This window comes from Homo sapiens, chromosome 10, assembly GCF_000001405.40.
Source record: "Homo sapiens chromosome 10, GRCh38.p14 Primary Assembly".
NCBI classification, from domain to species: domain Eukaryota; kingdom Metazoa; phylum Chordata; class Mammalia; order Primates; family Hominidae; genus Homo; species Homo sapiens.
This window is the reverse complement of record NC_000010.11, coordinates 127,361,249-127,385,690: the sequence shown is the minus strand read 5'-3', so window position 1 is coordinate 127,385,690 and position 24,442 is coordinate 127,361,249. Positions and strand designations below refer to the sequence as shown.

The 24,442-nt window shown below is 43.1% G+C and overlaps 1 protein-coding gene and 1 long non-coding RNA gene across 17 annotated transcripts in view; one reads left to right on the top strand and one right to left on the bottom strand.

Moving 5' to 3' along the window:
* The window catches only part of LOC105378551 (uncharacterized), a 36,497-nt gene extending 14,501 nt beyond the window's left edge, over positions 1-21,996 (top strand). Inside the window, exons 2-3 of the long non-coding RNA XR_001747642.3 lie at positions 6,504-6,545; positions 21,922-21,996. This is a non-coding gene — a long non-coding RNA (uncharacterized LOC105378551). The remainder of the gene's footprint in view (positions 1-6,503; positions 6,546-21,921) is intronic.
* Positions 1-24,442, bottom strand: part of DOCK1 (dedicator of cytokinesis 1) — a 547,089-nt gene that overhangs the window by 66,826 nt on the left and 455,821 nt on the right. For 14 of the 16 annotated variants that reach the window (NM_001377544.1, NM_001290223.2, NM_001377547.1 and 11 more), the window contains 6 exons: positions 23,479-23,627; positions 11,825-11,910; positions 11,477-11,633; positions 5,569-5,609; positions 4,323-4,413; positions 782-901 (listed from right to left, as the gene is read on the bottom strand). In NM_001377544.1, the coding sequence (NP_001364473.1) occupies positions 782-901; positions 4,323-4,413; positions 5,569-5,609; positions 11,477-11,633; positions 11,825-11,910; positions 23,479-23,627 (644 nt within the window). The remainder of the gene's footprint in view (positions 1-781; positions 902-4,322; positions 4,414-5,568; positions 5,610-11,476; positions 11,634-11,824; positions 11,911-23,478; positions 23,628-24,442) is intronic. The other 2 variants (NM_001377546.1, NM_001377553.1) reach the window with 1 other exon arrangement.

Here is a 24,442-nt window from a genome sequence, read left to right as displayed (position 1 = left end):
CAGGCTTGCAGCTCCCAGCACTAAGCTATGAGAATACATTCCCGTTGTTGAAAGCCACCCAGTTTGTGCTACAGCAGCCCTAGGATGTGAACGTCGGTACCTTCATAAAGTGTGCTAGTCAGTTTTCTCAAAGGAAAAAAAGAAAAATAAAACAGGTTCTGAAATGAGTTAGGAATCTTGATGAAACCAAAGAAGGAGTTCCAATGTCACTTCGGTGGCAGGTTTTAAAAACTTCTGAAACTGAAACAGCTTTTTTTTTTAAATAGTTACTGCATACCTTAATCAGAAGAACTACAGTGATCAGATATAATACTGGCTGATTAAAATGACAGCAGGTTTCCTTTTAGTGGAAGTCAAGTGGAATCTATAATTTTGTTTAAGCCAATTAAACTAGAAGCCACCAGGATGGAGCAATATCCATCCTACCATGGGATTAATTCTTCCGTGCCAACAGAAAAATGCAGGATGTCAAAGGAATACATTAGCTCTGTGGGCACGGAAACACCTCCGAATCAGTGTTCCAGACTTAGTTCCCTCTGGTAAGGGTTATAAAAATACTTGGTGCTTTTTTAGAGCATCTATAAAAGGGCTATTGATTTTTTTTAAAAGAAGATTTCTACTTTTAAGTGCAAGCTGAAGGAACATGCATAAAACATTTCAATATACAACTTGTAACAAATTTCTGGTTCTGCAAAAATCACACGCTAAAAAACGTGTTTACAACACTGCAGGTAGGTGCATGGAAAGAGGAAAACAAGGACAATTGCTTTTTGTGTTTTACCTTGCCTTTGTCGAAGTAGTGGATGATTTCCTGGTAGAGCTGCTCCTTCAGCTGTCCCTGCGTGGTGGCCTGGTACCCGTCCCGCTGGGTGAGGTGGGCCACACACACATCCTCCGACCACTAAGGGAGAAGCATAGCATGAGCGGACCCGAGGCGGAAACACCCAGGGACGTCAGAATGGTGTGAGCTTCGCATCGGACACGCGTGTGGGCCGCGGTTCTGGAGACATGTGTGGCTGCTGTCAACAGGCTGGGGACTGCCAGGGCAGAGCCTCTGTCCGGACATACCGACAGGCATAAAAGACACAGGGGAGGCATAGCTGCAGTGGGGTTCAGACAAAAGAAAAACCCAGCAGGTTCTGCAAAGCACGGAACTGGCAGCTTGCAAATGACACCTCCTAACATTCCGGGACAAATCAGGAGCCAGGTGATCCAGGGCCATCCCAAGAGCGGCACCCCAGGGCTCTGGTCTCAGTGCTGCGTGGGTTGGCATTTTAATCAACAGCAAAGATGGTACATGGAACACACAAGTCACCCAGAAAGGGACTAGAAAGGCTGTCAAGCTCCTTAAAGATGGGGAGGTGTCTTTGCACCATCAGCCATAGGCAAGGTGCTGGGCACAGAGTCAGGGTTTGGCCAGTATTCCTGGAAGCATTGGTGCAGTCGGCGTGTGAGCTGAAGATGCACGAGGAGACATGCCAGAGGGAAGGCAAGGCCACTTAACAGATACAACGTGTCAGCTCCTGAACTTGGGCTCAACACATCAGTGGCATTAAGTATAAGGTTCAATAAAATTCAGCAGCTATTTGATGAGGACCTGCTGTGTGCCACAAACCAGGTCAAAGAGGAGGCGGAAGATGCCTGACTCCCAGGATGGTGCGATTCTACATTAGAGAATAATGACACAGAACAACACTGCGTGAGCTAGGACCAGGCTACTGCACTCTAGCCTGGACAACAGAGCAAGACCCTTCTACAGGAAGAAGAAGAAAAAAAAACAGAACAAGAAAAAGAACACTGTGAAAAAGACTCCATGGGCACCTACGGGCAGGAGGCATGTGCTCCCACTGGGCAGCCTGGAGGCTCACGGGAGGACACGGTGAGCATGGGCTTGCTTATTGCTGGCCCTAGGAGAGGGAGCTTGACCCTGTTTTCAGCCAGGCCAGGGAGGGTGCTGCAAAGGCACTAAGTGGGAAGCTGGGGTCCGGGCAACGGGGCAAGGCTCCGTCAGCTGCTTACTGTCTTAGCAAAGGTCCCGCCCCACTTTCCTGAAACCACGGGCTGGGGAGCACCTCCCGCTGGACATCAGGGCTCCCAGGCACAGGGCACGGGCCCTGTATGGCTCTGCCTTTCCAGAAAGGTCAGGCAAGAGTGAGAAGCCTTTAAGCGGTCTGCAAGATTTTTCACCTTAAAATTGAACTTGCATATCTCCATCACAATTGGACAAACTCTTTAACTTTGAAGTTTGTACAACATAATTGGTCTACTTTTATTGGAGGATGGAGAATAAAAGCAAAACTAGATTCTGAAATGTAACCACAATAAAATAAATTAAGAACAAGCAAGTTCAGAATCCAAATGACTTCCTTGCATTTTTAAATCACTTTTGCAAATGAAAACATGGACTAGGGAAGCAAAAATCCTCTCTACCTTCCACTTCCACATGGAGATGTAATAATTTGATTGCTAGGCGAAAAACTAAAGTTTTTATTGCTCTTGGTTTTGACGAAAGATATGCCTAACCAAAAAAGAAGATTCTATTTGAGGATTTTCAGTTAATAAACAATAATATATCTGTCATACTGAAGAATTTTCGCAACAACATAAATCATGTTCTTTAGTGAGGTGATTAGCATGAATTCACATTTACAGTAATATCAAAACATATTTAGAAAAAATTGCAAAATGTAACGGGGCAAAAGATATGGAGAGAGATTATGTAGCATTCCCCATTAAACTGGAAAATTCAGAAGCCCAGGGGAAACAGCAATGCAATTGGGCCTATCGATTTGAGTTGTGAAACAAACCATCATGCAGTTTGTGACAAACCCATCTGTACTCAATAAATCCAATGATTAAACAAATGATGCCTTTATGCACATATATATGTTTTACATTCACACATGCATATAAAAGTTTACGTTCTATGAGGGACGGAGTAAGGGTTGAGTGAGCAGTTTGTCAACCCCATTTTAATTTCCCTGGGGTAAAAGAAATAGCTTCACATTTGCAAAAAACACCTTGCTACTGAAATTTGAGTTTTGAATAAATGAAGGCCATCAGAATTCATAGTGGGATAGCTGGTATCAGATGTACCAACTGAAATTTCCATCCTTATAAATTATGCTCCTTGGGAGAGCCCACGTGGCACGGGGCAAAATGGGTCCTCAGACAGCCAGCCTCAGGAGGACAACTGATGAGGTCCCTCCAGACTGAGCTGAGCTTTGTGTGTTTTATTTGTAACAGACACTGCTGTTTCCAGGCAGAGGCAAATTTCCATACTCGCAGGTCTCTAGGGCAGCCTGTGTATATTTGTGTCACAGAAACTATCAGAAATTTCAGGATCGGGCCAAAGATGGAAAGAGTCTTACCAGAGTTTTACTCCATAACACAATGTCTTCCTTAACTCCTATTACCTAATTGACACTACTGAATGCCCATTTAATGTAATTTTCTCTGGTTTTCTTTCATTACATTTTTGGTTTTTGGGAGGCTGGCTTGGATTTGGAAACATGACTCCTTGAATGAGCAGTCTTTGTGGAATGCCACCAAACTAAATTCTAATTCTTGTAACTGTTCTTATTTATCCAGTTCATAATTTTTCAAATTTTTATAAGGATGTCATGAGCAAGATCATCTAATAACTTACTGAGGTTGTGAAATATAAAACTAGAGGCTGTATAGCAATTTGTCCATCCATCCATCCATCCATCCATCCATCCATCCATCCATACGTCACTGTAAACAAAGAAAGTCAATGTCTGAAGCTATCTGAGTAATAAAAGAACCACTAAGAGTAGACAGTTGTCATGCCAGACTTGTGCTAGGAGCAACACTCCTTAGAAGAATCAGGCAGAGAGCACTAGCAGGAGGTCTCAACGTGAACTGATAGAGTGAAAAGTCATGATCTGGTCCCTAACTCTTTACTAAGACAATTAGGGGTATGTCTCATCCTATCTCTTAGCTGTTCTACCAGGAAAATTCCTTCTTGATATTGTTCTCCACCATCCTGGAGTCCTGTAGTCCTGAACAAGGAATTGTAGAATCTCTAACTTGCTGTCAGCTCACAGCCAAGTGATGGGAGTTTATAATGCTCAGTGATCACCTGCTATGACATCTAATTAAATCTGCATTCAGCAGGGACAAATCTCTAATCAAAGTACTTCCTAAATATTTTTGTTCATATCCTTGCATTTATTTAGTCAATTTCATAAAACCTTAAGTTATAGGCCTACTAAAATTTGCCATGGAAAAATACAATTCTGAATATTGTTAGAATTTATAACAATAGAATCATCAAGGTGACTGGTAATTGACATTACCTTAAGAAGCTTTGCATGGAGAAGCAAGGTGTAAGCCGCTTCGGTGTAGTTATCACACTCCTTGTGCAGGTCACAGAGCTTGTACAAATACCTGAGACAATAAAACAGAGGTATGTTCTTAAAATGTCACTAAATAATTTGTGTTGAGGATTGCAAGAGCTAAATTCTATGTTCAACAGTAAATCATGGCTACACTTCCTTTTTACAATGTTCATAATTCAAAATGCCTTAAAAACTTTTGGTACAGAAAGCACTAAGAAAAACTCAGGAAAAAAATAAAGATGATACACAAAGGTAGAATTTTCCTTCAAATTTTTCATTCCTTTTCATTTTCCCTTAAACATTTTTAATGAGACACACAATACTTGATTGTGATTTTCTGCATTTCTACTGAGTCCAAATGCACAAAAAAATCCGTAAAAATACAAATCCATCAGAATAAAGAGCTCCAATGATTACAGTCAATGTGATCGAAAGAATTTCTTTGCCATAAAGAAATAAAGGTAACTGAGTTATTAAATTCACATAGTATGTTCTTAAAAAGGAGAAGTAAAAACAATCTTAGAAATAGAAAATTAGACAATCACCCTCAGTGTAATAAACACATCACTAAAAACTCATGCTGTGTAGGTTACATCCTTCTCCTAGTCTCCAGAGTGGTAATCTTGCTAATTATTTGACACGAGACTTTAGAAGTAACCAAGAGAGAAGGGCTCAATCACAGTCCCTCACTCCAGGGAGCAAGGCGAGTAGGGAAGCAAAATCCAGCAGGCAATGCAAAATGTTTCTCTTCTTCATGGAAGAAAGACATAAAAAACACGGGACTATGGCGTCAGTTAACTAAGAGCAGACTGAAAAATTATAACTCCCCTATGTCTGGTAAAGTTATAACTGGATTTCTCACTGGATCATATAACTTACTGTGAAACATTAAAATTTATGTGCTTATCTTTTTGCAAAAGGGCCACATGAGTTGGTCAACAGGTACAAAACGCTGTGAAACAATTATTTGTAGTTTTGCTTTTGAGTTGGCTAATGGTGACCACCAAGAACTCTGCACTGGTGTGGACAAGCTATGCAAGAGCTGAGAATGTATCTGGGAGCTCCACCAAACTCTACCTTATACGTTTCACAATTTTCTACAAAATAAACCTTTGCGGCTATAACACATTTCTTAGCATACGTAAACATACAACATATATTATTATTTATAATTAACATGCAGACAAGCGTGATGCATACATACCTTATATACATTTCTTCTCTTTCAATTTCTTTGTAGAAATTCTGAAAAGTTAAACCATAATACTGTTTTAAGAAATCTGTTCCACAAAAGGTATCACATGCACAATAAAAATTCAAGATACTTCATCTTGTGTCAAACACAGCCAAATGGACCCAGCTCTTTGGATCAGAACCATAAATTCACATAAATTGCAAAACCATCTTACACAGTTCTTCACTTTTTTTTTTGCTAGTCAAACACAATTACATTTCTACACTGAACACTGTGATGACTAAAATCAACTTCTGTCACTTGAAAGTCACTTGTCTTCAATTAAAACAAGGTATTGCCCAAAAAGACATGAAGACATGATATCTTAGCCATAGTAATCTCATCAGAATAAATGAATACATAAATAAATATCCCAAATTTGGGAATAAGCAAATAAGCATCATCAACATGATTTAAAGCTTTCTGGGCCCAGCCTCAGCAAGAGCTACAAAGACAATATGATAATACAGACCTGAGTTATGCAATACACTAGCCAGTAGCCACATATATTAAAAGGTAAAGTAAATTTAACTAACATTGAATAAATAATTCACTTCCCCAGCTGCACTTGCCACACTTGGAGCGCTTAACAGCCACATGCGGCTAGTCTACTGTATCAAACAGTCTACACAAGACATTTCCATTATCCCAGAACTTTCTGGTAGATAGCACTGTTCCAGACAGGCAAACCTTCCAAACCACAGTTAAAAAAAGAGGGCTGCCTCTGAAAAAGCCCCCTGTGTATAAACACTGATGGAGAAAGCTTAATTAGTAGATTAAAACCAATGGATTATTTCTACATATTTACTGGAAAATATCGTCTGGTTGAGCAATAACATTTCTATCAAAATTATATTTCTTAAGGTGAACATCTCCATAAACACTTTAAAATCTTTTTCACACAGGAGCCACCAGAGAGGCACAGAAGTCACCTCACAAGGCCTAAGGTAAGGAAACATCAGAGTCACTTTCAATGTGAAATTTAGCACCTAAAAATGATGTTAGCCCTCTAGAATCGGAGCCTGAAGTAACTAGTGAATATCACCATTACAGAGACATACAATTATCCAAGAAATGGCATAGGCTCTTTAATTTCATGAGCAAAACCCAGCATTGCTTCTACAATTGATGTCTCTGAAAAGAAATGATAACTAAGTCTAGAAAATAAGCGGGGGCACATTTAGAAAAATGCACCAAGATTTTCAAGTTCTGTTGCCTCTGACACTTTACTGTCCTCCAGTTCATATGACACGGCTCAGTAATGAGGATATTTTCAGCTGACAACTCACTGTCGCAACAAAGAGAATCTGCATCAAAGGCAGAGGATAAGCCCTTCATTTCCAACTCAAAGTTGCCAGTATTTACAAGCTACGGTTTCACACCATCCCCTTTTGTACTCATATTTTTAATCCTTTCTAAGGTTTTGATCATTTTTCTTTACAATTTCACAACGGGAATATCATGCGACCTTCATTCCTCTCTCGGAGATACGAAATGTCTTCTATTTTCTGCCTGTGCTGAGTCCTGTTCCCTTCCTAGGACTTCAAAACCTCTCCACAACCGAAGTACACTCATCTCCAATCCCAATTTCTATATAAAACCTTTGTGTTTCTTACGTAAAGGTTCACGCGGTGCTCCCACTCCTCCTGGGCTCCGCGGGCAGCCTTGTCTCTCAAGTCCCCCCACACCAGCGCTGACTGACATCTGTGCCAAGCTTGCAGCTCAGCTCCCAGAGGAACCCCATTGGGACCGGCCCCCCAACTCCAATCCACCGCTAGGCATTGATCTTTTAGAACGCAGACATCTGCATTATATTTCCATTTTGGACTAAAACAGATACCAAGATTTTAAAAATACTGGACCCCACTCTGCATTTAATTAGCCTTGCCAAGGGGCTATGAAGAGAAGTAACTGGCATGTGCAAAGTAATGATGCGCCTACCAGTCACAGAGATGGGACGTGTGGATGACTGCACAGAAGCACTAAGTGACACTCAGCAACATTAGTGACCAATAATTAAAGATGCTCGATTATGAGCTGTCAGTGAAATTCTAGTTAAAGAATTACAAATATACATCCAAGTTCCAACATACATGCAGACATCCTTGCAGGAGATGTCCTGGGGACTTAGGTGGCCAAGCAGAGTGACTGCTGCGTCTCTTACTTTTTCATTTTCTTTCTTCTTTTTTTTTTTTTTTTTTGAGACAGAGTCTACCTCTGTTGCCCAGGCTGGAGTGCAGTGGTGTGATCTAGGCTCACTGCAACCTCCGCCTCCCGAGTTCAAGCTATTCTGTTGCCTCAGCCTCCCGAGTACCTGGGATTACAGGCACCCAACACCATGCCCAGCTAATTTTTGTATTTTTAGTAGAGATGGGGTTTTACCATGTTGGCCAGGCTGGTATCAAACTCCTGACCTCAAGTGATCCTCCCTCCTTGGCCTCCCAAAGTGCAACAGGCGTGAGCCACCACACCCGGACCTATTTTTGTTTTTTTAAGGGCAAGAAAATAGGACATGAAGGAGCCTACACAACTTACAATGTTCCACTAACTGTGTTTTGTAAGAAACCACGAAGCTGGTTCTAAAGGAAACTTGGCAACAGACTTACAGAGCATTGGTAAATTCTATGTTCTTTATTTTATTAATTTAATTTTTTAACTTTAGGCTTCATTTCTTCTTAGTGACTAACAGAGTATATTTTATACATCTCCAATATGTATACATCTATATTCATTTAGAGATGGTTATACATACCCATCTCTATTACACTCTGTTTCTGTAATAAAAGTACCAGGAGAAAAGGGAAAAACTGACCAGGAAATTGAGCTGGGCAGTGAGTATCTATGGTTAGGACACCTATCTACCTATCTTTAAAACTCTGGTTTCTTGTTTCCCTTTATTCCACAGATTTATTTTCTAAATGAAAAAACTGTGACAGTTGGGATCCATTTTATCATCCCCAGGAAATGGTTAAGAGCAGAACATTTGATTTTTCATCAAATGATTCAGGACGTTCCCATTTGAAGAAAGTTAATAATGTCAGATAACCTTGAGAACCCAGGGTGTGTTTCTTAGTTAAAACTGAGCAAGTGCTGACCACAGTAAAAGTACGTGGGCACTGAGTCTGGCTCTGAATTAAAGAGGAACACAGGTTCACATTAGAAACCGTGATTGTAGGTTTTATTACAAGAGTTTGTTTCCTGACCCTAGATTCAGGTAGTAAGAGCCCATATTCAGAGCACACCACCATTTCTCCACTGTTTCATGTCCTGGTGAGCATAAGAGATCTTGCTTAAAACAAATAAAAGTCTCAATCATCAAAGTTGGAAGACTAATAAACTTATTGATAATTCTTCCTTCTGGGCACTTATCAGCCTCTTAGATCCCCTTAAGGATTAGAAGGAACACTATAAAGTTATGTCCATAGTAGGGAAGGATTTTGTAAAGTTCTCCATTTCTTTCCCATAGAAAAATAATAGTTCCTATTTCACGTCAATCACATTGGCACCATGACAACAAATTACTTTGAACGTTGGTCAGAATGCAAGAAGACAGTGAAGTAAGCGCCAGGTTCTTTTCTGTCTGTAAGATCAGACCAACTGACCTGGGGCAGAGCTTGCTGCTGTACCACTTGGTCAGTCTCCAGGTGAATATAAAGACAAACACAGCCACAGCCCAGACCTCAGGGCCAGACATCAGAGACCAGTAATTTCTACAGTAGCCTAAGACACATGATGCATCTGCAAACATTCAGATTTTTCAAGTCCACAGATTCTGTGTCCAGTTGATTGATGAGACCATCAGAGGCATTCTTCACACTGTTACAGTGTTTTAGATTTCCAGAATTTCTTCTTGATGATTTCTGTGAGTTTCTACGTAGTTTACCCACCTTCTTTTATGTTTTATCTACTTTTCCCATTAGAGCCCTTAGGATATTCATCACAGCTGTTTTAAATTGCAGGTCTGATGATTTCAAAACCTCTGCCGTATCAGAGTCTGGTTCTAATGCCTGCTCTGCCCCTTCACTGTGTTTTTGTCTTTAGCGTGCATTGTACTAATGCGTTGAAAGTGAATATGATGGACTGGGTAAAAGGAATCTAGTACTGGCTCCAGTGGTGGTTTCTGTTTGGGCTTCCACTCTGTGGTTCTCTGTATCCTCCTGTTTCTTTGACTTTGGGGTCAGAAGTTTATCTACAGATCTAAGAAGACGGAACTAATAATTGTTGATTGTTTTCAATTTGTTCAGCTTTTTTCTTGTTGTGAGGACAGGAGTGACAATTTGCAAGCTCTTTACATGCTGGACCAAAAACTGGTCCCCTATATTTAGATTTTTAAGGAAAAGAAAACTTGTTACAGAAATGTTTATCATTAGCCTAAACAAGCTGTCCAGCCATGCAATGAAGGGGCGAAGACTGCTCATGAGCTTTCAGCTGTGAAGTTCCTCATGGCAAAGCACAGATCCAGCACTGATACCATAGTCGATGAAAAGTGAAAGCATTCCTTTTCGTTTATCTTTTTAATCCACACAACTCTGGCTTTTTAAAGAGTGAATGATGTGTCATGTTCCTCCTGGCATGAAAGTCCATTTCCATGAGCATAAAGCACCCACAAGTCCACACAAGGGGTGGATGTGGCAGTGAGGACTATGTATCCACATGTTGTTGGCGACTCTGAAATCCTGAGGCCAGTGGCTGGGCAGAGAAGGGAGGTAAGTAGAGCAAAGCAGGAGTAGTGTTTTCTTGCATTCTTGCCATGGGACAGGCAAGGAAACTTGAGGAAAGCCCTACTATGGCCACGAGTCAGCCCTTGTGTTTCTTTATAAGAGAAGCAGCAAAGGGAGAAGCAGAGAGCTCTGGAGCCAGGCTGTGGGAATCACAACGCTGCTGAGAGCCATGAGGCTGGCCGGGATCTGAGCTTGTGGTAAAGCTTCCCAAAAGCTCATTGGTACTAATGGATTTCCTGGATTAGGGACCACAATGACATCAGGAAGGGGGTGTCCACAGAACCCAGCTGTATCAGGGCAACAGCAGGAATGCAAAAGGCAGACAGATGGCAGCAGCCAAGGTCGCCCAGGCGTCTGTTCTCCATGGTGCCCAGATCTGGTTTCCTGTGGCTGCTGTAACAAATTACCATAAACCTAAAACAACAGATATGTTTCTTCTCACAGTTCCAGAGGCCAGAATCTGAAATCAAGGTGTGAGTAGGACAACGTTCCCCTAGAAAGCTCTAGGGGGGGATCCTTCCTGGCCTCCGCAGGCTTCTGGTGGCTCCAGGCATTCCTTGGCTTGAGACTGGGTCCCTCCAATCTCTGCCTCCATCTTCACAAGGTCTAGCCTGTTTCTGTGTCTTCTCTTTTGTCTCTTATGAGGACACCTGTCATTGGAGTTAGTACCTCTCCCCTCCCCTTGCAGGTAATCCAGGATAATCCCATCTGAGATTCTTTTTAATTATATTTGCAGGGCCTCTTGTTTCCAAATAAGGTCTCATTCACAGGTTCTAAGGACTGGGGTATTGCTCTACCTTTGAGGCCACCATTCAGCCTATGTACTACATAGCACGCGTTTATGGTCTCCTAATCACAAAGCCTTAAGGCCGTAATCCATGAGGCACTACCCTGGCTGCAAGATACGGTGAGTCATCATTCACAACGACAAGGAGAGCGACATTAAAACGTCCAGAGATGGGACAATTTTACAGACTTATTCAGAGTGGACGACTTCATGATTCCTTCCCTGCAGCAGATGAGGAAACAAGCGAAGGAGATTGTTCTGCGGTGGAAAGCTTCGTGGCTGACTGTCATAGATAAGGGCTGGGGCAATCCCCGCTTCAGTTTCTGGTGTGCTGTGAAAACTGAAAAAACGTGATTAAGCTTTCACTCACCAGCACATTGACGGTGCAGCTCATGCGGTTTTCTTTGTTCTCGTCGTGCATGATGGTTCTATAATCCAAAAGCCTTTCCATTAAGCGCACAACGAGTTTTACAAAAGTTTCTCCTGTTTTGGCGAGGTATTTGTGCTTCCTGCAGTGTTCCAGAAGGCTGAAAAATAATTATACACACCTTGTTAATCACACTCAGAAAAAGAAACTCAACAGAGGTGCAATTTTAACTATTTTCCATTATTAACACATTTTAATTATTTCTGGGTTACAAAGTTCATTGTAGTCTAATTACGGTCTCTCTGTCTCTGTATCTCTCAGACATAAATCCCACTGCTAATCAACACTTACATTTTATCAAATAACACTTTGTACTGTTCGTCTCCTCTGCCTCCTTCGACTTCATGATCCAGCTTGGTGATGATCTCATTTTCAAACTATAATTAAACAGAGGAAGCGTAAATAATCAGCATGGCGAGTATTTCATTTTATGACTTGAGTGTCAATAGAACATAAATCGGCAAGAGAGATCATCATAGATGGCTACCCTCTGCCTTTGAAGCCTCATTTAAGAGTTGCCAACACAGAACCCCTGGAGGTTTCTGATGATCCCTTGCCATAGGGGGACCTCTCATTTCCTTTTCTGGTTAATGGAGCCTGAACCTGCACGTCCTGATAGCAGGAGCAAGAACCAGGGGAAGAAAGACAAGGAAACCATAGGGGGAAAAAAAAATCAAAGCGCAGCATGAAAAAAAGTCTCAAACTTCATCTCTACAAACACGTAACATCTAAAATAGCTTGTTGGTTCCTGAAATGAACAGATGGTGTTTCCCCTGCCAGTGAAGAGTTCTCGGCAATCTGAAAACATCCTAGGGGCCACTTAGCTGCCATTCCTTGATAGATCCTAGTGAAATACCTCACTCTGGCTGAAAAAATGTTCTAAAGAGCAAGAGGAGCAATGTCCCTAAAGACAGACCAGCAGGCACCTCAAGAAGGTCCATCTCCAGCCTATCCTCCATCCCCAAAGCTTCTGATTAAATTTCCTGGGAATCAGGGTGCAGAAGGGTCGCCAGTACCAGCTAATTATGTCTCAGATCCATGCTTTTAGAAAAACTCTAAATTCTGGGGGGTGGAAATCTCTAAAATGTCTTCAAGTGTCTGATCAGGCTGAAAAAAACCTCGATAACAATGGACATGTTTTCCCCATCCTCACTGCCCAGTTCCCCATCTCTGGCAGAGTTCATAGCCATCTGAGTACTGGGACTCCGGCCTGGTGACTAGCCATGCTGCAGGGGGCCCTGAGGTTACCATCAACTTGTGCCAGTAGCAAGGAGGGGCTGTGAGATTGTTCATTCCCATAAAGATGAGACATGCACACTCTAAACTGAAGGAAGATGGACAAAGGAAGAATTGAAGAAAGCTGAATCCAGGGTTCAGAAAGCAAGTACGCCATGGGCATGTATGCAAGGGTCTCCAGGATCTCTCTAAAGCCATGTTCAATCACCTACTTTCTCAGGCAACAATTCTCAAGCCGCCTGCTGTTATTAGGATCCCAGTGGAATTTAAGCTGAGTGAGAGGAAGAATTTTTCTTTGGTCATTGCTCTAGCCAGCCCCAAAACCTCAAACAGTGCCTTTGATGCTCTAATGGAATGAATGTGCTGTGTGCACATAAACTACTGAATACAGTTGGTCTTAGACCAACTTAGATTGGATTAAAGTGCTTAGACTGGATAAAGCTGGAGAGGGCTTAATATGTCAGCAAAGGAGCGGTCTAGAGGGTTGATAAATCACAACCTGCATTCTTGGCCAGGCCAAGCCCAGTCGTGAAAACTGCTCATCCAGAGTGCCTGTGACAGACACTGTGGGCACCAGAGACTTGGGGATGCCCCTGCAGGAGCAGCTGACTGTGGACCCCTGAGAAGCAATTAGCAAGGAACGGTGAAACCCAAGGAGGGGCCTCCAAATGGACACAGACGCCCTGCCTGTCCTCGATCAGTACACACTGCCCAAAGCCACAGCTACAGATGAAACAAAGGCTTTCAGGGCTGGAGAGAAGTACTGATTCTTGCCTGACATCAAGGACTCAGCAACATCCCCAGAACCCGGACCTTAGTGAATCTCTCCAATTTTCTTCTTGATCTTCTCCATGGTCTCCTCCCCCAAATAAACACTTCTTTTTGATTCTGTCTGGCCTAAGAAGTTCAAGGATTTTAGCAGCACAGACAGATGGTTCTATTGAAGAAGGAGGAATGAATTGCTTTAGATTTTTTTTCTCCTGAAATCTCACATTAACGATTTTTACTGTAAAATAACAACCTTTTGATACTAACCACTGCTATCCTGCCCTTTACAGAAAAGAATTCTGCAAAAGGTAGTTCTTTTTGGAATCACATACAAGGGAGATCGCTTGGTAGTAGCCCAAAAGTTGGCATTTCAAGGCAGTGCCATCTCCCAGATGGTGCCATGATCCAGACAGACTTCAAAGATTAAATGTTTGATGAGGGCTGATGCTTCAGGACAAATAATAGAGACACAAAATTAAATTAAATTTAATCAAAACATGATTCAATTTCATGTATGTTTAATGAGTACAGACAACAAGAAAGGTACAGAGAATGCAGAGAAATGTGCCTTCTCCTGACATGGGCAAACATACAGGCATTTAAAATGCCCATCAATGGTCAAGCCAAAGGGATCTGAACACAGAGTGTAGGTTATGAAAACGGCATGTTTTCTCTGCTTCCATGTAAATCTAGCTGTCACAAACACAGGCAATGAGGAAGCTACAGCTACCTAGGTATGCTGCTGATCAAATTCTGACTGATGAACTTAATGATTTCCAACAAAGGTGGATGAGTGGTAAGTAAATCACAACACAGCTGATTCTAATTTTACTAACCCTAGTCCAAACTAAGTAATTTACACAAACACCTGGCCACCCTGATCTGTTTATTAGCAAGGATTCAGTACCAGAGATCCACAACTAGCCTCTAATTCCAGGATCCTCGTTCATTTTTATAGAATACACTCGAATTGATTCGCTAGTGTGCTATGAACTGTTACTATAATCAGAATTAAATGATCCTGTCCCACTAAATTGGAGATAGTACATTTGCTGATAGAGCAGAGCTGGTTTTATCAAAATCATGCTTATTATCTTCCTCATAAATGCACATTGTCTGGTGATTTGCAACAAGGTTCTCTATGGCTGGGATAAAATTAGCAAGGGTTTACTGTGTTGCTCAAAAGGTGGCAGAGGCTCACTCACGTAATAAGCAAAACCATTATATTTTCTTCTCTTTTCTGAATCACTAATATTGCTCCAAAAATATTCACAGGGTGTCCAACTGAAAATACTGAACAGAGAGTCTCTCAGTGTCTGATACCAGCAGCCCTCTGAGAACATGAAACAAGAGAACACTTATGAATAGAAGGCCTTTCGGAAAGTTGCTGTTAAATTGACGTGACGGAGTCAGGGGGCTGTGCTCGAAGCGATATTGACGTCTTGTTAATTCAATTAACTTAAAAAGGAAACACTGCTTTTACCACTCACTGCCACAGCTAACCATAGGCTATTGGCACCTATTTGAAAGATCATGGAGAGAAGGATCCCAGTAGTAGCTAATCCAAAAGCCAATTATATTTGGTTTGGAACGCATAATTTTTGTTTTGGGTGAGATTTACTATTCTTACTCTAATGCATCTATAATTTTATACATCTGTAATGTATAAAATCAGCCTGCACTTGCCAGACATCCAGGACCATGCTTTATATACCAGAAGAGCTCTAGGGTTCTGTGGGAGCGCAGCAGGAGGCTGGGCCAGGGTGGAAAGGTTTGCACAGACCACTCACCGCCTTGATGGAGGGCTCCGAGGTTATCAAGAGCCGGGTGAGATCTGAAATCTATGGACATGATCTGCTAAGTACATTAGCAGAAGGGCTTATTTGACCCTTTAAAAATAAACCTTAGTACAATGCTGCTCTTTGCCCAGAGTGCTCTAGTTTCTCCTGTATTTAAAGAAGAAATGCTCAGAAGATACTGCAGGCAGAGGGCACCAAGGAATCAGACTCTCTCTGCCTTCTCTCCCTGGGTCGGGGCCAATCTGATGAAACTGCGCAACCACACCTTACCCCCTGAGCATGTGCAGGGGGAGGTGGGTGGGAGAAAGTTGCTGGACTGTATCTGGGTGGAAAACATGGTTAAGAAGATGAAACAGGCAAGGTTCAGCAGAGAGAAGTGTGACACCGCACAACCCTTGGGGCTCTAGGCGCCCATGCTGACATCCTACAAGTGACTGGTCCCTCCCGATCCATCACTCAGCCTTGAGTACCTGTGCTCAGACACATTCATATCTTTATGTATAGAGCATTCCTCTTGCCTAACTGCTCTGGAAACTTAATTACACACTAATTAATCGGTGGCACTTCATCCCACATTCAAAAACCTCCACATCCTCCTACGTCCGTCAAGCAAGGGGCTTGCTGACCTTGGAGCTCCTGTGAAACACTCATGAGCCTGGAGGACCCAGAGCCACTCACTTGGAGCTGCCTGGCTGGGGATGCATGGCTGCATCGCAGGCCATGACACCTTGCTGATGCCTGAGACAGGTGCAGCGGCTCCTTATGTCTACATGACACAGATTAAAGAGTGACTTTAGGGCTGCATGCAATTCCAGAGGACTCTGGGAACATGGCCTCAAAATTAGTCCTGTTTAATCTGGTTAAAGGGGATTATGGAAGAATCTCTTTGCTGGAGGGCTTTTAAGAATGAAATTCAATATAATCGCAGCTCCTGGAGTCAAGGATCTTGGTTTCCATGGCCTCTCAGACCATCTTTGGGTCTGGATTCAATGAAACAGAAGCCTCTTGTGCCATATTTCCTCTTTAGGCAAGAATTATTTTGACATTGAAAGCAAAAATAAACAAACCAACAAATAAAATCCTAATGAATTAAAGAATACACAAGATAGAATTGCTACCAAACTCATTCACATTCATATTACAGTGGAAAATACATTGGCCTTTCCACCAAGTGGCAGAGCCGCTGACATTCACCCGGCTATTCAATTACTGGCTTCCGGTTACTGGCATGGGCAGTGTGAAGAGATTATTCAAACAGGAGCTCGGCAACACTGATGACACAAAGATTATTCATGTTCTAATACTGTTACAACTAAATGGGAATTTCTGGAAGTTGTGCAGCATTTTACTGAGCCTCACAAAGATGACAGAAAATAGCTCCATGATTGAAAATATTATTTTTGCTGGGCAGCTTTTTCCATTCCATTTTTATTAATGGTCTATGGCCCATATGGTCATTTGCTGCAATTCTCAGCTGTTAGTTCTGTATTTTCCAAAGGCGTAACAAATGGAATTCTTTAAAAAGATGCCAGGAGGGAATTTAAAAGTATGCTTTTTATTATGAAGCAAAATCCAGTATGAGGGTGAGACTTGGAGTGCGGTCCACGGGAGGGCAGGGTTCTTGGTGAGGCAGGGAGAGTCAGCTTAAGGCCAGGAGAGGGCTCATCTCCTGTGACCAAGGGCAGGCTCATCCAGGTGGATGGGATAAGGGGCGCGAAGACCCCAATGCCTCTCCACATTTCCCCTGCCAGCTTATCAGTCCTGAAATCTTCCCAAGTAGGACCTCTCCTTTCAAACAAATGGAGATTCCTAGAGTCCTGAGTTTAGGGGTAAGCATGCTACTCTCTGGATTGGGGTGGGCACAGGGCGAGGGGGTGGGATGAACGCAGCTGTGGTGGTGTCTCGAGGAGTTGGCCAGCTGTAAGGAAAGGGGGCAGAGAATGTGCCCTTAGGCACCAGGACAGGAAGAAGCAGCAGGGGAGGATGATTTAGGAGAATGGCTGGGGCATCCGGATCATAAAAGATTCATAGAAAGTGCTGGAAGAGCCAGGATGACCACAGACAGCTGGAGCACCCAGAGACAAAAGAGGCAGAAGAAATAAGAAATGGGTTTTTGTTGAGGAGCTGCAGTGAGTGCCTTAGGTCAGCTTGACAGAGCTGGCTCTGGGGAGGTGGTGATGAAGCTCTGCCAAGGCCTCCAGACGGAAGGTCTCTGATGCTAATGGAACTTCCCCTGTGAAGGGCCATGTTCTGGCAGGAGCTTGGCCAGACAGATGCCTATGAGATAGGAGGCCCCAGATGTCCACAGTGGCCTTGAGTATGGACAGGGCAGGGAAGTGGCACAAGAGTGCCCAGTGATGGAGGGGGTGGCTGACAGTGGCCACAGGGCTGGGGGCCACCCCAGGGGCATGGCTGCAGTGGGCATCCACTGGGGCTTCCCACATGTATCCCCACCTCCCCTGGCTTGGAGTATCCACACTGCAAGCACTAGGAGGAAAAGAAACCCCACAGGCAGCAGCCTCCTGGCCGTACACAAACAGGGATGGGATGGCAGAGAGGTGTGAGATTGCAAGAGCGTCATGCAGCGTCCAGTCGCTGGGAACGCCTTCCTGTCAACGGACCGGAGCTCTATGGCTATGGACCCAGCCCACAGTGAAGCATATGACTTTGAAGGTAGGAGGGACTTCTAAAAAGAATTCAAGGCCGCTGTGCACATCTGGGGCCTCCCATCTCACAGGCTTCTGTCTGGCCCAGCTCCTGCAGAACACGACACTTCACAGCAGGCTTCCACTAGCATCAGGGACCTTCAGCCTGGAGCCTTTTGTGGAGCTTCATCGCCACCTCCCCAGAGCGAGTGCTGTCAAGCTGACCTAAGGCACTCACTGCAGCGCTGGACAGAGAGTCCCAGGCCACAAGGAGGACATGGCCCATGAAAGGATAACTCCATGCCACCCCATCCCGCCACCAAGAGAGCCCATTCAACACATGGACCCTGGAGAAGCAGGATAAGGGCAAGGCTGAGCCTATTCCGAAGGAACATTTGTGCTCTTTCTTGCACAAGTGGAGACAGGAAAGGAGTAGGCTCTTGGGGAGGTGTAAGGGAAAGAACGTTCTAATGAAATGCCCGCCACTGCGGCTGAAGAGCACGAGCACAAGAGCAGAAACTCCGGGCAACGTTAGAAAAGCCAATTTGTAACACATGCTTTTAAAATTCCAGTAATGGTTTGGTGCAGTTTAATCCTGAGTAAAATAGCAGGTTTTTCTTCTGAATCCAGCAGGTCTCCTCTCTACTCCAATTGTAAGAGTAAAATACACCTGGACATATATATTATTTCATATTCCATAAACAGTAGCATATTGACAGCTCTACTCCAAAAGACACAGCAACCTTTAAAACATAAGCTCTATCACGGGTTCAAAACACTAAAGTGTTGTAAAAACAAATCCCCCTAATATCTTCCCCCTACTCCAGTAGGGTTTGCACATCTGCTATAAAAGCTATAAAAAAAACTTAAGCCCCTGCTGACGTGACTAATAAGGTGAGGTAACTGGGCTTATGGCAGAGGAGTTAGGCAGCAGCCGACCATCCCCATCCCAGAAGCTCGTGGATGGAGAAGCAGGTGGGGCCAACCCTGCACCAATGTGCCACACACATGTCCACTCTACACATTCGCCCACATCACCGACAATAGGGGCCATCCCTTGTGCTTTAGGAAGACCAGCTGAGAGGGACAGGTGGAACTGGAGTCAGAAAGGACTTAGAAAACATAGATAGAGCAAGTCAAGAGACAAATACTGTGGCCCAGGAATAATCCTGGACTAGTGCAATGGTGATTGCGCAGAGGACGGAGGCTGCAGATGAGACAGAGGGAGGACTGATGAAGCTTCACAACCGACTGCCACGGAGGCCAGGGGAGCAAGCAAAGGCCAGTCCAGCATGACCCGCAGCCGGAAAACCCAGTGACAAGGAGACTGGCAGAAAAGGGGATGATGCTGCAGGCTTGGGAGATTCCAGCTGGGAAGCTGAGGTGGGCACATCAAACAGAAGAAAACTGATCTTTTCCCAATTACAGAAGCAGATTAACATACAAGAGGGATTTTTTTAAAACAAGGGTTAGTTTTTCTGCCCTCATTTTAAAGATCTTTAATGTACGCTATCCCTCGTCTGCAGAGGTTCAAGCAGATGACAACACAGAGAAACAGGTGACTCTGAACCAACAGTTCAGGTAGCTGACCACGCTCAGCCTGACAGTGGGTCCTTCTTGTGGGTGAATCTGTGTCTTCAGGCTTATGCTTGGATTTACATACATCCAAGCACGGCATGTTTCATGCTAGTGAAATAGTTTGTTGTTTATGAGATGGAACTAAATGTGCCAATTACTTCATGATATTACTCAAAAACAATTTGGTTTTCTGGAAAGATGTCTCCTGACGCTGGGTCAATGTTGAAGCCCCAATGGGAAGGCGGTGTTTAAAATGGTGGCACAAATTCTGTGGCTCTCGTTAACTTCGGACCATTTCCTAGCAAACCTGGGGCCCCTGCAAACTGGAGAAAATGAAGCACTTCCTCAGAAGATTGTTGTAAGATTTTTTAAACTACCACAAGGCAGCCATGAGACAAAAGAATGTGAGGGAAAAGGGGAACAATTCAGAAACCAAACTCTCATTCTTCTTTATTCTAACTGCCCTTGACCTTATTTTGACCCAAAGACTGATTAAAAAATGACAAATAGAATGATGTTTTAAACACTTTTGACCTTAGTTTTCTGTGCCAGTGACATTTATCTATATAAATACACTTTCCCCCTTAACCTGATTCTTTAATAGCAATTTTTCACAAAGTCCTTCTTTGGGCTAGATTTATATAAAATTCAAAAAGTCAAATGAATTTTCTGCCTAGGAAAAAGCATTTAAATTATAATTTGTAGTTCCAATGAGTTGGCAGTGAAACTGGGGCCATGATATAGTGCCAGCAGCAATGGAGATGGGGCAAATCTTATCGTATTAACATCAAACCATTTGGCAATAATTTCAAAAGTTACAAAAATATTTGAAATCCGTAATTACATTTATAAGAATGTATACTGGGAAAATTTTCAAAATAAATTCAAGCTATATGCATGAATGTGTTCACTGCACAGTTATTCACAGCAGTGAAAATCTGCAAACAACTTACATGCCCATTTATAGGCGATGGATAAGAAAGTGATAGTTAATTTTATGCCATCATTAATATCATGGTTGCTATGTTGTAATTAAGGGAAAGCTCCTTGATATATTATCAAACAGAAAGAACATTAATAAAAAAAATCTAGGTATAATATTTACAATGTTGTATTAGTACAGTCTTTATACAAAGACTTTGTATATACACAGACTGACAGTGAGCCAGAGAAACAAAAACAGCTGTTCTTTCAAAAATGAATTATCTTTAATATTATTAAAAATAAATACAGGGAGACCTTCTGCTATCATGGAAAAAAAGAGAGAGAACGGGAGGAAAGAAGGAAGGGAGGAAAGAAGGAAGAAAGGGAGGGAGGGAGGAAGGAAGAAGGGAGGAGGTACTAACACCACTCATTCCAGTCCAACTGACATTACACTGGGGAAGTTAAACTAAAGCCCTCTCTACTGTCCACGGTTGGAATAATGTGAAAATAACAGTCACCAGTCACCTTATAAAAAACTGCCTAGGGCTGGGCACGGTGGCTCACGCCTGTAATCACAGCACTTTGGGAGGCTGAGGCGAGTGGATCATGAGGTCAAGAGATCAAGATCATCCTGGCCAACGTGGTGAAACACCGTCTCTACTAAAAATACAAAAATTAGCCAGGCGTGGTGGCACGCACCTGTAATCCCAGCTACTCAGAGGCTGAGGCAGGAGAATCACTTGAACCCGGGATGTGGAGGCTGTAGTGAGCTGAGATCGCGTCACTGCATTCCTGCCTGGCAACAGAGCGAGACTCCGTCTCAAAAAAATAAAAAAAAAATTAAAAAACTGCCTAGTGGAGCAAAGTGCAAAAAACAAATAATGATCTCCGAGCCAGGTGTTAGGCTCCTCTGCAATGGGTTTTCAAGCACAGCTGTGGGTGTGTAGAGGTTAAAGGAAACGGCTCCAGCAGTCAGACTCTGTTCATCTCCTGTGTGCTCCTCCCCGGCTTCCGGAACAACCCTGACGAAATGGCCATGCCCAGGTTTGTATGCAGCGTTGGGCCCCATGGTCCTGCAGACACTGGGGGCTCACCCTGCAGGCTGCCCCCTGCACTCCACAAACACCCAGACCAAGGGAGGTTCCGGCCTTGAGAGAAGAGAAGCATCCACAGCCACCTTTTATAGTGCCAGGCACCGTGCTAGGGATTGTACAGGTCTGATTTTATTTCATTCTCACAACACGCCTTTCTGGTAGATTCTATTTCATGCCAATGTTACAAGCTTGAATTGGAGACTTAAAAGATGTTGAGTGATTTGCTGAGGACCCAGATAATACCTGGCTAAGCCTGTGAATCTCAGTCTCCCTGCCCTCAGTATCTAAACTCAACTCACAGTGTGGAGACTGTTTTGGTTTCGTATCTCTCTTTTCTGTTCTAGGAAACAGCAAAATCATTCTTCGTGGATACCGCCTTCATGTGATATGATGAAGATGACCAATGAAAATCTATAAACTACTCAAAGCTCCCTTAAATGATAAACTGTAGAGGTGGGTAAGGATAATATACCCTTTAATATTAGATCTCACCAACATTAAGCTATCTTGATTGATGAAGTTTTGATTTCCTTTCATTATAGGAATTTTTCTCCAAATTCCTCTAAAATCTATGTAAAATGCTTAGTATGTTGACTTACTTGAATTGCTATAATAATTTTTAATATTTATTTATTTATTTATTTAGAGACAGGGTCTGGCTCTGTCACCTAGGCGGGAGTGCAGTGGCGTGATCACAGCTCACTGCAGCCTTGACTTCCCTGACCACAGGTGTGCACCACCATGCCTCACTAATTTTTGTATTTTTTGTAGAGACGGAGTCTCACCATGTTTCCCAGGCTGGTCTCGAACTCCTGAGCTCAAGTGATCTGCCTGCCTTGGCCTCTCAAAGTGCTAGGATTACAGGCGTGGGCAACCACATCCGGTCCAGTATAATGATTTTTAAAAGGTATCTTTCAATTCAGAGGACTCCCTAGTACTTGGGCTTCTCCCAGGTCTCCTGCAAAGCATCATGGCCAAACCATTAGTACACTAAGGAGAAAGTCATAGCATGTGCATGTGTGTGTATGTGTGCACATATGTGTATATGTGGGGATGTACGTGTGTGTGTGTGGGGGGAGGTGCATGTGTGTGTGTGTGTGGGGATGTGCGTGTGTGTGTGGGGGGGGATGTGTATGTGTATGTGTATGTGGGGATGCACATGTGTATGTGTGTGGGGGGATGTGCATGTGTATATGTGTGTGTGGAGATGTACATGTGTGTGTGTGTGGGGATGTGTATGTGTGTGTGTGGGGATGTACATGTGTGTGTGTGTGTGTATGTGTGGGTGTGGGTGCCAACCCAAGAATACATAAACAGTATACTTATTTTCTTGGGATCCAGAAGGAGATTTTGTTACTTCTTGAGCATAAGTTATGCAGCAGAGTTTGTCCCTCATGCTGTTTGTCACAGTATGTTTTGAGCACTTTATATACACTTTCTTAGAGAATTTTCATCAGTTCCATTGCACAGGCAAAAGAACAAGACACACACTTAAGAGAATAAAAGCAAAGACTTTAGCTTTCAAAATACCACAATTCTGCAATAAGCAGCCGGTCTGAGAGAATGTAACACATAACATTTGATTAAACGCTCTACAAGAGCACGTACCAAGAAGTGGGAGCAAGAGACTTTTATCCAGGGTGCAATGTGTAAGTAAACCCAGATTAAAAGAAGTAAGTAAGAGCTAAAAATTGAGAATAATCCTCCCAAAAATTGAGTGCAAGGGATGATAAGCTTCTTCAATAAGGAAAATCATAGGCTTTTTCTCTCTCAAGCTGTAGGAAAATGTGTTTTCCACGTTGGCACCTTTAACTCTAGAACTGTCTACAGGTTTCTTTGAAGGTTTTCAGGTTTGCCTCCCTCATGTCCCCCGGCCACTCGCTGCACATCTACGTCCTTACCATTTGGAAGCTTCGGGTCGAATGGAATTCACACTGCATCATATCAAAGAAGATGGGGATGGTGGCTTTGCGCAGCTCCGTCTCGGGAATTAATGTCATTTCTAATATTGGGCCCACCATTTCTGGAATGAACTTTATCTTGTGTTGACCTTGGAAAAAAGAGGTACAATATTCAGAAATAAAGAAAAATAGAATTCTAAAATGGGCTTAAATGGATAAAACAACACAACACAGATCACTGTGACTTTGAGCAGCAGGATCCCGAAAATGTGCATCCATTTCGCGTCTGCAGATGATGATTTTGAACTTTCCCAGCCATTAGTATAAGAAGTGGCCTGTATTCCACATGTTATAAGTGAAGCTCTTCAAAGATCCGCGCGGTATAAGCCTGTAATCATGACTTCTCTGTCAGAGAAGATGAACACTGTTTTATAAGTAGCCAGTTCCATCACACAGATTCAGAACACATGCAGCTAATTCCCAATTCTGAATAGAGCAGGGGCTGCGAGTCGGGGGTCTCAGCCTCTAACTCTGTGCACAGCGACAGGAACAGGAGCCGACAAATGAGAGAGAGCAGATAGTCTCTTGAGTCCTCTTTATCTCCCACATCTTATGAAGATGAGTTTGCTATCTGACACCTCTGTAAATAATGCAGGGTGATTTCTGCAACATGCCAAACGACTCCAATCAAAGTAAATCAAGGCGCCGGAATCTGAGGCTGAAACCCTAAAAACAGCAGTGATTCTACCTTTTCGAGCTATTGTTTGATAGGAAAATGCTTATTTAAATAACTACTTTAGGCCGGGTGTGGTGGCTCACGCCTGTAATCCCAGCACTTTGGGAGGCCAAGGCGGGCAGATCACGAGGTCAGGAGATCGAGACCATCCTGGCTAACACGGTGAGACACCGTCTCTACTAAAAATACAAAAAAATCAGCTGGGCGTGGTAGCGGGCGCCTGTAGTC